Source organism: Homo sapiens, chromosome 1 (genome assembly GCF_000001405.40).
Source record: "Homo sapiens chromosome 1, GRCh38.p14 Primary Assembly".
Lineage (NCBI taxonomy): Eukaryota > Metazoa > Chordata > Mammalia > Primates > Hominidae > Homo > Homo sapiens.
Genome location: NC_000001.11, coordinates 226,890,479 through 226,905,106, shown reverse-complemented (window position 1 = coordinate 226,905,106; position 14,628 = coordinate 226,890,479). Strand labels below are relative to the sequence as shown.

General features: G+C 50.5%; 1 protein-coding gene across 11 annotated transcripts in view, besides 1 other annotated feature; it reads right to left on the bottom strand.

Annotated features, from left to right (window-relative positions):
• The window catches only part of PSEN2 (presenilin 2), a 33,053-nt gene continuing 19,863 nt past the window's right edge, over positions 1,439–14,628 (bottom strand). For 4 of the 11 annotated variants that reach the window (XM_047425601.1, XM_047425597.1, NM_012486.3 and 1 more), the window contains 4 exons: positions 13,746–13,829; positions 13,263–13,361; positions 10,982–11,100; positions 9,009–9,683 (listed from right to left, as the gene is read on the bottom strand). In XM_047425601.1, the coding sequence (XP_047281557.1) occupies positions 9,528–9,683; positions 10,982–11,100; positions 13,263–13,361; positions 13,746–13,829 (458 nt within the window). In that variant the 3' untranslated portion in view covers positions 9,009–9,527. The other 7 variants (XM_017001835.2, XM_047425596.1, NM_000447.3 and 4 more) reach the window with 4 other exon arrangements.
• Positions 8,982–9,213: a silencer, noted in NCBI's record as "fragment chr1:227083595-227083826 (GRCh37/hg19 assembly coordinates)". NCBI's record gives its function as "represses an EF-1alpha promoter that drives an FKBP-Casp9 reporter gene in an ReSE screen in K562 erythroleukemia cells {active_cell/tissue: K562}" and the evidence as "EXISTENCE:reporter gene assay evidence [ECO:0000049][PMID:32094911]".

Genomic DNA, 14,628 nt, shown 5'->3' with positions numbered 1-14,628 from the left:
CAGTGTTTTGAGACACCTAAGTGGAAGAGATACCAAGTGAGCAGAGATGTCTGACTGAAAGGTAGGTCAGGCTTGCATGTGGCTGCACGTACTAGAAACCCAACTATAATAGTTTAACCAGATAGGGGTTTCTATTAATAACATAAAAGAAGACCAGGCCAGGCACGGTGGCTCAAGCCTGTAATCCCAGCACTTTTAGGAGACCTAGGTGGGTGAATCACTTGAGGTCAGGAGTTCCAGACCAGCCTGGCCAACATGGTGAAACCCCATCTCTCTAAAAATACAAAAATTAGCAGGGCATGATGGCTTGTGCCTGTAGTCCCAGCTACTCGGGAGGCTGAGGCAGGATAATCGCTTGAACCCAGGAGGCAGAGGTTGCAGTGAGCCAAGATGGCACCACTACACTCCAGCCTGGGTGACAGAGTGAGACTCCATTTCAAAACAAACAAACAAACAAACAGAAAAGAAGTCCAGGGGTGGCTGGGGCAGCTACTTGTGGTTTCCTTCTCTGTCATACACGCTTTGCCTGCGGCTTTCATCCTGGTGGTCGCTAAGCAGCTGTGACATCTCAAAGCATCACATCTGTGTCCCATGCAAGGAAAAAATGGCAGATTATGGCTGAGGCGCCCCTCCCCGCCTTTAAAACCAGGAGAACAATAGCTTTTCTGGAAGACCCAAGCACTAGACTTTGGCAGAGCTGAGTCACATGGCCACTCCTAAGTGCCCAGGACCCTGGGAGGTGAGCAGTGCTAAATATGCAGGAGGACACCCTGAGCACAGCAGGATCTGCTAGGAGGGATACTGGGGAAGGCAACTCGCTTGTGAAAGCCACGTGAATGGATAGGATCACACTGGGAAGAGAGGAGGAGCAAGCAGAGAAGAGGAATGAGAACTGAGCCCTGAAAATGTGCATCTAGGGTAAAAGCAGAGCAGCAGCTGGAAAATGGCCAAGGAATGAGCAGGAGGAGGGAAGAAGAGTAGGAGGAAACTGCCAAACAAAATAAAATTGGAGCTGGGTGCGGTGGTTCATGCTTGAATCCCAGCGCTTTGGGAGGTTGAGGCTGGACAATCACTTAAGGCCAGGAGTTCCAGACCAGCCTGGGCAATATAGCAAGACCCTGTCTCGACAAAAATTAAAAAAAATTAGCAAGGCATGATGGTGCATGCATGTAGCCTCAGTTGAGGCAGGAGGATTGCTTGAGCCCAGGAATTCGAGGTTGCAGTGAGCTATGATCATGCCACTGCATTCCAGCCTGGGTGACAAAGCGAGACACTGTCTCTAAAAAAATTAATTTTTAGGAACTGGATTTAGTAAGGAGAGACTTTATTCAAAAGGATTATTGCAAGGATAGGAAGGGGCAGGAAAGGAGATCATTGCAAATAGGGGGAACCTCTGACTGTTAAGATCTTCCAGAGTCTCAAGATCTAGGCAAACACGTTTTCTGGTTTTGTTTTTTTAATAGGGGAGTAAACACGACCAGAAAGAACAGATGTGGGGAAGTGGAATGGAAGGGCAGCAGGATCAGGTAGATCAGAGGATGTTCGACTCTGGGGCCAACCTCTTCTCCAGAGGGGATGTCTGCCGACTCAGGAAAGTTTAGGGACCTGGGGAAAGGAGGGAAGTTTGGTTAATGAGCATTTTATTCCGATTAATCAGTGGGGAAAAGCAGCTCAGCTAATCATTTAGAAGACTAAGAATGGGAATTTGGAGGGTCTGTGTGTGTGCTCTTGTCATAATTAAACAAGGGAGACATCTAAGAGGCCTAAGTGCTCTGGGAAGATGGCTCTTTGCAGGAAGCTGTCTGCTAGAACACAAAGCATGGGGGGTTTTCTTAACCTTGGCTGTTTCCAGAAGCAAGGGCTGAGACAAAATCCAACATTTTCAGAACCAACAGAGACAGGGTGTCATGAAAGGCTTGGAGAAGAAAGTATTTCAAAATCGAGACCACCCATTGTTAGAGTAAGTCATGCTGGAGTCAAAAAGAAAAAATCAAAAAATGAAAGAAAAAAACTCAGTGTTTTAGTATGAGAATGTTATTACAATTTTTAAAAATTTATTTTGATAATTTCAAGCCTATAGAAAGGTTGCAGGAATAGTACAAATAATTCTTCCTGATTCCCCAAATATTTTACTACGTTTGTTTCTCCATGTGTGTGTGTTCAGCCTCTCAGGTTTCTGTTCCCCTCCGAGTAGGCTCTGGAGTACTGGAGGGTGGGGTAGGCAGAGGAGGGTGGCTCTGGGTGGCCAATTGGGGTCTCCTGGCTGTCCATCTCTGCTGGCAGCTGTAGGCCCTTGCTGGCAAGACTCGGAACCTGATTTCCTGGTTTGGTTATAACAGGTGCTTGCAAGCCAGCCCAGCCTCCCCAGCTCTCACTGACAGACCCTTGGCTCAGTGGACACCCCACCCCATTCCATTGCAGGCCTCAGAGAGGGACTGCTGGCTCTCTGCTTGGGGACCTACCACCTGCCCCCTCAGGAATGGTGGGAAACTTCTGTCTTGTGCCGTGGCTCAGAGAAGATAACCCCTGCCTACCTTCCAACCCCACTGACTTCCCTTTGGAAGATGGTACAGGATCAGGTACTGTTGAGCCTGAGACCTGACTTTCTCCCCAAATCCCAAATGGGGAGCAAGGGGAGGTCTTCCCTACCTCCTCTCTTCTCTCCATCCTCCCCATTCCCAGAACACCCCAGGGCCCACGGTAAGCCATGCCCTTACTTCCTCTAAATCAGGGGTCCCCAACCCCCAGGCCATGGACCAGTACCAGTCTATAGCCTATTAGGAACCAGGCTGCACAGCAGGTGGTAAGCGGTGGAGATGAGCATTACCACCTGAGCTCCGCCTCCTGTCAAATCAGTGGCATCGGATTCTCATAGGACCTCGAACCCCATTGTGAACTGTGCACGCCAAGGATCTAAGTGGCACACTCCACATGAGAATCTAATGCCTGATGACCTGAGGTGGAGCAGTTTCAGCTCCAAATCATCCCCCCAACCCCTATCTGTGGAAAAACTGTCTACCATGACACCAGTCCCTGGTCCCTAAAGATTGGGGACCACTGCTCTAAGTCACATCCTCCTCTCTCCATGGATGCGGCCCCTTCCCTACCTCCTGGGAGAAACTCTAAGGAGTCTTCTGGGTTTGAGTTTTCAAACCTACCACTCTTATTAAATGACCCAAGTCCCTACATCTCCTGCCCTGAGGTGATAAGACTCTTCCTTGGCCTTCCTTAGGGGAAAATTAAAATGCATGGGTCATTTGCAAAGTAGCAGCTTGCTACAACTGTATTTTTCTCAGAGGCCTTCTCTTCAAGAATTAATGTTATCTTCCCCTTTTTGGTCATTTTAAAAGTCATTCTCATAGGGAAATCTTTGACTTTAAATTTTAAAACTTAATAAAATGTAACAAAAGAAAGATATCTGACCAGTAAGCACATGAACAGGTGCCCAACGTCATTAGTCAGCATTAGGGAAATGCAGATCAAAGCCACGAAGAGACACCACTTCACACACACATGAATAGCTAAAATTAGACTATTTTTTATTTTTGGCAGAGATGGGGTCTTGCCATGTTGCCTAGATTGGTCTTAAACTCCTGGGCTCAAGTGATTCTCACGACTCAGCCTCCCAAGGTGCTGGGATTATAAAATCATACTTTTTTTTTTTTTTTTTTTGAGACAGTTTCGCTTTTGTCACACAGGCTGGAGTGCAATGGCGTGATCTTGTCTCACTGCAACCTCTGCCTCCCTGGTTCAAGTGATTCTTCTGTCTCAGCCTCCTGAGTAGCTGGGATTACAGGTGCCCGCCACCACGCCCAGCTAATTTTTGTACTGTTAGTAGAGACGGAGTTTCACCATGTCGGCCAGGCTGGTCTCGAACTCCTGACCTCAGGTGACCCGCCCACCTCGGCCTCCCACAGTGCTGGGATTACAGGTGTGAGCCACCGTGCGTAGCCTGTTGGGTGTTTTGAGTGGCCTCGACAGGAAGATGGCAGCCCATGCTTGTTATCAATTACACACTGCAGGGAGGACCTATTTCTGCTAGTCAAGAGCACCTATTCTACAAACCACATACCGTGGGCTTATATACTAACTACTCCCTGCTTGATTTTGGGCAAGTCAGTGATCTCTGTGCCTTAGTTTCCTCATCTATAAAATGGAAATTAGAATAGTAGTTACCTCCTATTGTTACGAGAATTGAAGGTAAACTCATTTAGTGCGAGCCTAGCACAAGGTTGGCACTGGGTAAGGGTTTGCTACTGTCACTGTTACTCTCTACAGAGTCCACAACCACTGTCTCGAGGTCCTTCCTAAGGTGTCCAGTGTTGCACACAGCAACACAGCACTTCTGCTTATATTCAGTTGGCCATTAGTCACATGTACTGACAAGTATCTCCCTGGCTGCCTTCAGGGAGCTCTTGGCCAATGTCCTAAAAGCTTCCCCACAGCTTTCTGGCCATTCACTCAGACCGGACCCTTCCTCCCTACCACCATTCAAAGCTGTCCCAAAATCCACGGTCCCTCACAACACCTTTCTCAAGTAGCTGAAAGAAAGGCAGTGGTTACAGGACCCTTCCTTCTCAGCGGGTGACCACAGGACCCTGCCGCCCCATTCGACTCACATAAGCATAAAACACATCACCGAATCACAAACTGCAGGCATGCTTCTACTTTGCATAGTTTCATCGGCTTGCAATCCACATAGACTGTGCTGTCAGGCATGAAAATTGTCCACAGAGGGGGCAGGGGGGTGCACATGGATCTGCACCTCATCCTTGGTCACTCTAAGCCACTCGCAGGCATTCTGTAGAGAGCCAATGGTGGCAGCGGTGGGGGGCAGAGGGTCTCCTAACCACTGACCATTCTGACTGCTGGTCCAGCTCCATCACCTTCCCCTCATTTTAACCCCAGGATGGAGGTCTACCTTAATCCCCACTGCTGTCATCTGCTGCCTCCCGGGGCCCATTTCCACCGTCTTTGAAGACATCAGCTTGTGATTCACATGATCCCTCACGACCCCATTTTCTCATTGTTTTGGTAACTTCATTATCTGCATTGGTAAACCAAAAGACACGCCATAACCACGTATCCCTTATCTTGTTTAGGTGGATATATGGCCACTTGAAATAAAGACATTTCCCAGTCTCTCAGTCTCAGACAGGTATGGCCGTGGGACTAATGGCCAATTGAATATAGGCAAAAGTGCTGTGTGCAACTTTGAGACATGTTTTTAAGAAGAGGAAATGCACCCTTTTCTAACCTCCTTTCATGCTGGATGGAGTGTGACTTGACGGCTAGCACACAGCAGCCAGCCTAGGTCATGAGGTGAAAGCCACTTACTGATCTCAAAGGAAAAAGAGGCATCTGACCCCTGATACCATGCACTATTGCACCCTCTCCAAGCTGCCTGTGCCTGTGAAAGGATTCTAGCCCATCTTGTTTAAACCACTGCAGTGACCTAACCCTTACTGACTCCCACCACCATTCCACACTATTATACTTCTGTAGCTTTATACTGTTTTAGGAGATCCAGTGTAACTTCAGATTTACATACCCTCTGCCTCTAGCATCTCAGGAACAGAAACTCTCAGGACAGGCCCCATCTTCTCCTTTCACCACCTAAGTTTCTCTGCTTCAATCACCTGGTGAGGCATTGGCCTGCGAGAGAGCAAGTTCTATTAACAGTAGAGAGCTCAGGAACCCATCCACCCACTTATGGAAACTTGGTATATGTCAGGAGAGTTCTACAGACCAGCGAGAAAGGAGAGACTGTTCAGTAAACAGTGCTGGGACACCTGGTTACAAAGAAAAACAAAATTAGGTCCCTACTAAATACAATCATAAAAATACATTTCAGATGAACTAAAAATCTTATTATGAAAATAAAAATTTAGAAAACCTTGAGGGTAGGGAAGGATCTCTTAAAACAAGATTCAATGGCATAAGCCATACAAGCAAAAAACTGATAGATTTAATAACATTAACATTTAAAAATTACTTGGGTCCAGCAAAACACTCCTAAAGGCAGGGAAGAGAGGCAAGCCACAATGTACCAGACATTTGCAATGCATATAATTAATCAAAGATTAGCATCTCTCCAGAATATATATTTTAAGAGGCTTAAATATCCGTAAGACAAAAAATCCAAGTGAAAAATGGGCAGAGGATATGAACAAGTAACAGAGAAGGAAACTTGGGCTGGGCGCAGTGACTCACACCTGTAATCCCAGCACTTTGGGAGGCCGAGGCGGGTGGATCACGAGGTCAGGAGATCGAGACCCTCCTGGCTAACACGGTGAAACCCCATCTCTACTCAAAATACAAAAAAACTAGCCGGGCGTGATGGCAGGCACCTGTAATCCCAGCTACTCAGGAGGCTGAGGCAGGAGAATGGCATGAACCCGGGAGGCGGAGCTTGCAGTGAGCCAAGATCACGCTGCTGCACTCCAGCCTGGGCGACAGCGCGAGACTCTGTCTAAAAAAATTAATAATAATGAACAGAGAAGGAACCTTGTACAGCCAATACACATATGAAAAGATAATTATAAAACCTAAAGGAAATGACACCCATCCAATCAGACAAGATGAAAAGTCTGATGACACCAAGTATTATAGAGTTGGGGAACTCTCAGATTGCGGATGGAAGGATAAACAGACACATACTTGGAGGGTAATTGGGAATGTCCAGTCAATTGGGGGAATTCCAATACTTCCTCAAATCCACACAATGTGATGGGATGCTCACTGCAGCACAGCTGTAATACAGAAACACTGCAAAACCCCTACAGGTCGATCAATAGCATATAAACAGTAGAACTCATACAATGGAACACTATACAATAGTTAAAATAACTGGGCTGGGCACGGTGGCTCACGCCTGTAATCCCAGCACTTTTGGAGGCCAAGGTGCGTGGATCACCTGCAGTCAGGAGTTTGAGACCAGCCTGGCTAACGTGGTGAAACCCCGTCTCTACTAAAATACAAAATTAGCCAGGCATGGTGGCGGGCAACTGTAATCCCAGCTACTCAGGAAATTGAGACAGGAGAATTGCTTGAACCCAGGAGGCAGAGGTTGCAGTGAGCCAACATCACGCCATTGCACTCTAGCCTGGGTGACAAGAGCAAAACTCCATCTCAAAAAATAAATAAAATAAATGAACTGGAGCTACATTTATACATGCCTCCAGAATGCAATATTTTAAAAAATTATCAAATATGTACAGTATGATACCATTTCTGTAAAGTTAAGAAAACATGCCAACATACAAAACAAAACTAACCATAGATGAGAAGGGCAGAAATCGACTTCAGGACAGGAGGCGGAGGCAACAGGACTGGGGCCACATACAAACAGGACTTCAGAACGTGGGTTTTATTTCTAAAGACAAATCTGGAGCAAATATGGAAAGATATTAGTTGACGGGTTACACGGGGGAGATACAGGTGTTTGAACACCAGTACCCTGCTCTTGTTCGGCATGTTCGAATGCTGTCTTTTACAAATTCTCTCATTTTTCTTCTTTGCCATTTGTGTTCTGGGTTCATTTGTCTCCCTGCTCTCTGGGGACCTCCAAGTAGCATCTCCTCCAGTGTCTTTGTTCTCTCCAATGCTCTTCCCTCGTCTTCTCACATGTCCTTGTTTTCTCAGTCTTAACACTTCACCCTAACCATCACCAGGCCCCTTCATTTCTTCCTCCCTCGCTGTCTACTTAAGGGCCCCCAATTTCTGCCTTTACCTCTGAATGTGGTCTCCACCCAGCAACCCTTGGCCAGGCCTTTGAAAGACCTCAAGCTTAATGATTCAAAATATATGTCCAATCCCATCTTTGGAAACCCCACCCTAAAACTGCTCTTCTGAAGATAAACACTGCCATAATTGCCAAATTGAATAAGCTTTTCAGTTTTTCTTTCCCCTTAACCTCTTGCGAGTTGTCACCATCAGGGACCATCCCTGTCTGCTTTACCCGCTCCCCGCTGTGGCTTCCATGACGGCAATGCCCCCCATCCCAGGTCTCTGACCTGCACTACTAATCAGTGGGATTCCACCCGCCAGTGTTCGGCCTCCTCTGTCCTTCCTTCTTAGGGCACCACATTTTCCTCTGCCCTTCCTCAAACAGCCTGGGGGAAAGCAAGCTCCTGTCAAATGTCAAGATACACAATTCTCATTCCTCTCATAATAAAGATGCATTGTCCCGGCACTCATGTTATTCCTGGAACAGGGAGACAGGGGTACCAGTTTGAACCCCAGGGCACACTTGCGTCTTCTCAGCTGTCTGATATACCTAACACCTGCTTGATCTCGGCTCATTGCAGCCTCAGCCTCCTGGGCTTAAGTGATCCTCCCACCTCAGCCTCCAGAGTAGCTGAGACTACAGATGCATGCCACCATGCTTGGCTAATTTTTAAATTTTTTTTTGTACAAAGTCTCACTATGTTGCCCCGGCTGGTCTCAAACTCCTGGGCTCAAGTGATCCTTCCGACTCGACCTCCCGAAGTATTGGGATTACAGGTGTGAGCCACTGTGCTCAGGAAGAGGCACTTCTGAGATTCTCTTTGCAACCCATGATTGATGTACAGAGAAGGCAAAGCCAAACTGTCCACTCTCCCACCACAGTGCCCAGGGCCAAAGCCAGAGAAGGAAAGGAGAGTGGTTTCTGAGCTCAGGCCCTCACAGGCTTCTGCAGAGGGTGAACACTTGCTGAAGGAACCACTGGATGTTTTGGCAACCACCTGGCAGTGTCTGTGCCACCGTGCACAACTGAGTCCAGGGACCTGCTCAGCATCCACAGCCTTACAGCTCAGGGCTGGCAGATGTCAGGCCACCCTGCTCTCCTAACTCCTTTGCTTAGGAAACTTTCTAGTTAAAGAAATGTGTGCAGAGAGGCGAGATCATTAAAAGTTCCTTCAAACAGGGCAAACTGCCTCCATCCTGGGCTCACAGCACAAGTTATCCCAGGGGTGCCCAAGATGCAGGGAGAGGGGTCAACATTTACAACGGACCAAACTCCAAGATTCTAACAGGACTCATCTATTTATTGATATTACTATTAAGCCACTTCCCAGCAGTGTGACTGCCGTAACAAGAACAGGACTCAGTTTCTAAAGGCAATAAAATAACAAGGACATCATGGACAAAGCATTGGGAACACTCCTCGTAGGGAACTGGCTTTTCCTCTCCAGCCAGAGCACCCAGGTGCCAGGGGCCACTCCCGAGCACACTCTTTGCGCATCTCAGCCCTCATGCCGGATGCTCTTCTCCCCGCCCTAATCTGACCTTCTCAGTTCATCTGGATAAACCTGCTGTGCTTCCTGTCCGTGAAGCGAGGCGCTCCCCAAAGCGGGAGCCAAAGTCTGGTGATGAAACAGCTGGCACCAAAGAGCTGGTTCTGCCTCCTCCTCACCAAGTAAACACGTACTTTATTTTTTAAGGAAAGAAAAGTCTTAAAAATATATGGCACTAGAGTGTAAAACTATACAACTGCATCCAATGAAAATTCCCTGCAGCTTGCAGCCTGTGGCACACCATGTCCCTCAGATGTAGAGCTGATGGGAGGCCAGGGTGTCCATGAACGGCCGCACCAGGTTGTCCGTGGAGAAGTAAAAGATGAGCCCGAACGTGATGGAGATGGGGAGGGCGGGCAGCGCCTTCTTGAACACAGCAAGCAGCAGGAGGGTCAGACACAAGCCCTGCAGGACATGGAGGGGAGGGTGAGCGTGGTGATCCCTGGTGTGGACAGGAGCTGTGAGTCATGGTCTAGTCCCTGGGCACAGGAGCTTGTTCGAGGACCAGTCGGATAACGGCGCTAGACACCCCATTATCTTCCCTGGTCCTGCAACAGCTCTTGAGGTGTTAAGGGCAGAAGTTCTCACCCCCATTAGATCACCTCACCTGTTAGTGAGTGAACCAGAAGGCAGGCCTCCTGACTCCTGGAGCAGTGCTGTGCCCCGAGGCCGTGCTGCCTCCCCTGTCTGGCTGGAGTGGTCACATGGGATGGTAAGATGCCCTCAGGGAACATGTATTTATATGAGAGCTAGGTGGGCTCAACTGAAATGGCAGTAAGGTTCTCAGCAGCTGGCACCAAGGGAATCAGAGCCGCCAGGCAACCTGCCCCTGGGAAGCAGGTGTGGGGGCTGCCCATCCTCCCCTGACCCAGCTGATGCAGGCAGTGGTCCAGGTGAGCACAGGGAACCAGGGTGCCTTCTATATCTTTGGGGCCAGCAGGGCTCAGGTAAGGCAGTCTGGTGGTGGAGGAGCCTGGGTCCACCATCCCATCCCTGATATACTTGTGGGCAAAAAGAAAACCTTCTGGACACTGGAGCATCAACCTTAATCATGCCATGCCCAGGGTTTTCACTAAGGGGCAGATGCCAAGCGCACGGCTCAGACGCTCCTCCTCCTCTAACGTGACAGCGAAATCTCTGAGATGAAGTCACGGCAGGACGTCTCCCCATTATGTGTATCTGGTCACGTTAACTGACTACAGGGCCTCCACATTTCACTGCTGTGGTTCACAGTAACGGGGCCACCCCTAGTGCCCCAGATTCAGACCCTGTGGTGTCCCAATGGCATGGAGGAGGGGGAAAACATGGTCCTCACTAGCTTTGCGCCCATGGGCAAGGCCCTTAAGCAATTTTCTTTTCTGCAAATCTGATGTCATCACAACCACCTCGAGGGTATCATCACTGCGCAAAGCTGTCAGCTGGGTCCTCGGCCTGGAGGCTGTGTGCTCAGCCACGCTGGGGCCGGTACACTCCTCACCCTCCCCTGCACTGTCCTCCACAGGCTGGAGCCCACCTAGGGGCGAGCACACCTCCTGTGAGCCTTGGTCTCAAGCTGACCCTTCCAGCCCCGCTCCCTGCTCTTGTCCCTCAGAGGGAAGAGAAGAAATGAAAAATCCCTAGGGATCCTGAGACCTGCCCCCACCACAATGAGGACCCTGGGGGCCCCCACCACGAGGCAGCTGGACGCATCCCCAGCCACTCACAATGAGGATGGCCACGAAGCAGGCCAGCGTGGTATTCCAGTCCCCGCTGCCCGTGGCAGCCGCCTTGCCCACCAGCACACTGTAGAAGATGAAGTCCCCGAGGCCAAGCTTCACGCCCCCTGTGTGAGGAGAGACAGTAACCCGTACTGAAGAGGCGTGCACAGAATGGAAAAAGAAGAGAAACTCTGGCCCAGAAGGCCCAGCTGCTCTTGCCCAGCCCAGCCCACCCCACCTGGCCTCTAGAAGCTAAGATGTGGACTGGGGACATGGACAGCTGCCTCCCCAAATCAGTGGCCAGTGGGAAAGCAGGGGACACCTGTGGACTGGGTGACTTACAACCTGGGCAGAGAAAAGCGGGCAGTTCTGAAACTCAGGTAAAACCAGTGTTGGGCACTTAGAGAGTAAAGAAAACAACAAATAGAAATGCAAGGCCTTGGGCTGGGCACTGCTGTACAATTTAGTATGAAGTCTGAATCACAGATTTTTAGGGAATTTAATTTCAGTACATTCAAAAGCCCATATAACACCAAGACAGAGGTCCTCTGAAGAACCTTTCACCTTACAACAGGTAAATATAACTGGGAATTAGTCTACCCATTACTGATCAGGAAATTAGAGCTTCCAAAATGCTCTCGTTTGTTTTCTTTAGTGCAATGGTCCCTGACACTTGTTTATAGGATAACTTTGCTCACTGTAGACAATAAAAATGGTTATGCAATAAACACAAACCATGGAGGCCCACCTCCCCTGCCCTTCCAGCCCTGCAGGTGTCCCTCCTGCTCCTGGCCCCAGCTGTCCTCCTTCCCCCACCAGGTGTGATCCATCAGCATTACTTCTTCACTGTCTCTTCATTTGGCTGGTCCTGAGTTGCATCTCTTATAATAAAACTAATTTTGGCCGGGTGCTGTGGCTCAGACCTATAATCCCAGTACTTTGGAAGGCCAAGGCAGGTGGATCACTTGAGCCCAGGAGTTCGAAACCAGCCCGGGCAACAAGTCAAAACCTTGTCTCTACTAAAAATATAAATGAGCCAGGTGTGGTAGCACGTGCCTGTAATCCCAGCTACTCAGGAGGCCAAGGTGGGAGGATCACTTGAGCCCAGGAAGTCAAGGTTGCAGTGAGCCACAATCGTGCTACTGCACTCCAGCCTGGGCAACAGAGCGAGACCCTGTCTCCAAAACAAAACGACAACAAAAAACAAACTGCAATTTTAAGTGTAGTGCTTTCCTGAGTTCTGTGAGTCATTCTAGCAAGTTATTGAACCTAAGGGGGTCATGGGAGCCCTAAATTTGCAGCCGGTCAGAAGCACAAGTGGCATCTAGACCCTCTAGAGCTTGTGGCTGGTGTCTGGAGGGAGGCCAGTCCTGCGGGCCCCGTGGGATCTGTGCTAACTCCTGGTCTGCAGCACACCAGTTGGCCTTGGAATAAATACCTCCCCCAAGCCTGCCTGGAGGGTGCGCACCTGCTCCTCCTTCCAGACCCACCGCAGAGTGATCTTTCCCTAGCTTGCCCCTCCCGTGTCACTGGAGTCCTGTATGCCAAGCCACTGTCACCAGGCTGCTCCCGTAAGGCACCTCTCAAGGCAGGGGCTGTTACGACAGTGCAGCATCTCCCTGCTCCAGGGTGCTGCCTGGCACGCAGCAGTGGGCTGGCATTGGGTGTTAGGCAGGCACCGTGTACTGACGCCAGGATGAACTCCTATCTTCGCATGTCTCCAGGCCTGTTTGCAAGGCTCTCCCACACTTCTGCTCTCTGCATCCCGCCCCGGCTTCCTCTGATTCCTGAGTCTGTCTGTCAGGAAATGCTCCCCACCCTGTGCTCCTCTCCTCTAGTGACTGCTGTGACTCAACCTTCAGAGCTCAGCTCAGCAGTTACTTCCTCAGCTGACTTTCTCTCACCCCTGCCAACCAGGTCAAGAAGCCCCGTGGCATGCTCTCCTGCCGCCCCTCCCCAACCCCATGGCCCCCTTCATAGTCCTTGGCTTCTCAGTCTATGTGATTACTGCCCGTGTCTCCTTAGCCTGTGGGTCCCACCAGGGCTGGGCCTCACCCAGCACAGCACGGGCACGTGGCCCATACTCAATACATGCCGGACAACTACATGGGGCCTGCTGAGAAGACCCCAGCGCTGCAGGCATCTTCTACTTTCACAGAGATGCCTCTGATGGGAAAAGGGGCCCCTCCCCTCATGCCCTCCTCCACCCAGGCTGCAGGGAGCCTCCACCCTCTGTCTCCGCTCCCGCCGTAGGCTGAAGCAGGCCGTGTGAACATGGGCACCTTACTTTCCTCCTCTTCCTCCAGCTCCTCCCCTGGGTAGCCAGTCAAGGGAGGCTCAAAGACTTCGGGGTATGAAGGCTCCCCAAAACTGTCATAGGAGTCTTCTTCTGGGTGTCCAGGAAGAGAAGATGTCCGTCATCACCGTGAGGAGGGGACAACAAGAGAGAGAAACAACAGCTGGTCAGAGTGTTACCAGGGAACAAAGCTCCAAGAAGGGGTCCCCCTGAGCACCAGCACCTGACACCAGGGCTTCCCCCACTCCACCCACCCACGCCCAGCAGAACGATGCAACAGAGGCTGGCAGAGGACCGAGGGTCCAACACTTGCTGAATCTTCAAGCCGCATGTGTCCGGCTGGTTTTCAACGGACCTTTCCCTCTGCCCCTCCTGAACTCATGCCTCTCAGGGAAGCCAGGCCGAGCAGAGCTGGGTGCAGGTAGGGAGCTGCCCCCCAGTGATGAGAGGCTGTTAGCTCCCCAAGATACTCACCCATCTCCGGGTCGTAGGGGAGCTGGAGGGCACCCTGAGAGGAGGGGTCCAGCTTCGCCATGCCAACCGTCCACACCATGGCAGCTGGGGGAGGAGAAAAGGTTCACATCTCAGGCGGTGCTAACAGTGGCTGCCTGCAGGGCCTGGGGGAGGTGGCCAGTCTGCGTCCCAGAAAGCCTGCACAGGACCCTCCATCCTGCAGGTATCTGCTCATGCTCCATTGTTAGGAGGCCGTTGTGGGAGGGGTCCAGAGTCACTCTCTCTTGCATTTGTCTATTCTGTTACTGTTTGTCTCCCCTCCTAAAGCATAAGAACCAGGTCTATCAGAGCCAAGACCTCACAGTTCACGGGTGAATCCCCCGAGCCCTGGGACACTCATGACAGTCCTGGCACTACCTTTCCATACATGGTCTCCGCTCATCCTCGGAATGCGCCTGGAATGTGCTTTCCCGTGGGGCCACGCTGCAGGCGATTCTCCTCTACGGGCTCGAATCCTCAACTGCATGAAGGTACCTAGAACTCTGTAGCTGTTCCATAAACTCTTTCCCAGGCCACCTTGCAGACGCCAGAGCTCCAGAAATTCAGGCTATTTAAGCCCCGCCATCAACAGACCGAGGGCATCACAATCACAGGGCCGTGAGCTCCATGAGGCCTGGGACCCTGTGGTCTTCTTTCCTGCTGGGTCCCCCAATGCCTAGCACAGTGCCTGTCACAAAATGGGGACTTGATGTGCCTTTGTTGACTGCATGTGTAAGTCCAAATCTCTACACATTGACCCCGAGGCCAGGGGCCATCCCGTGTGCCTTCCCTTCAGTTAGGATTAATGCCAATCAGCCACGCTGCTGTCAAGGAAGCCCAGAAGCTCCTTGCTCCCCGACCCCCT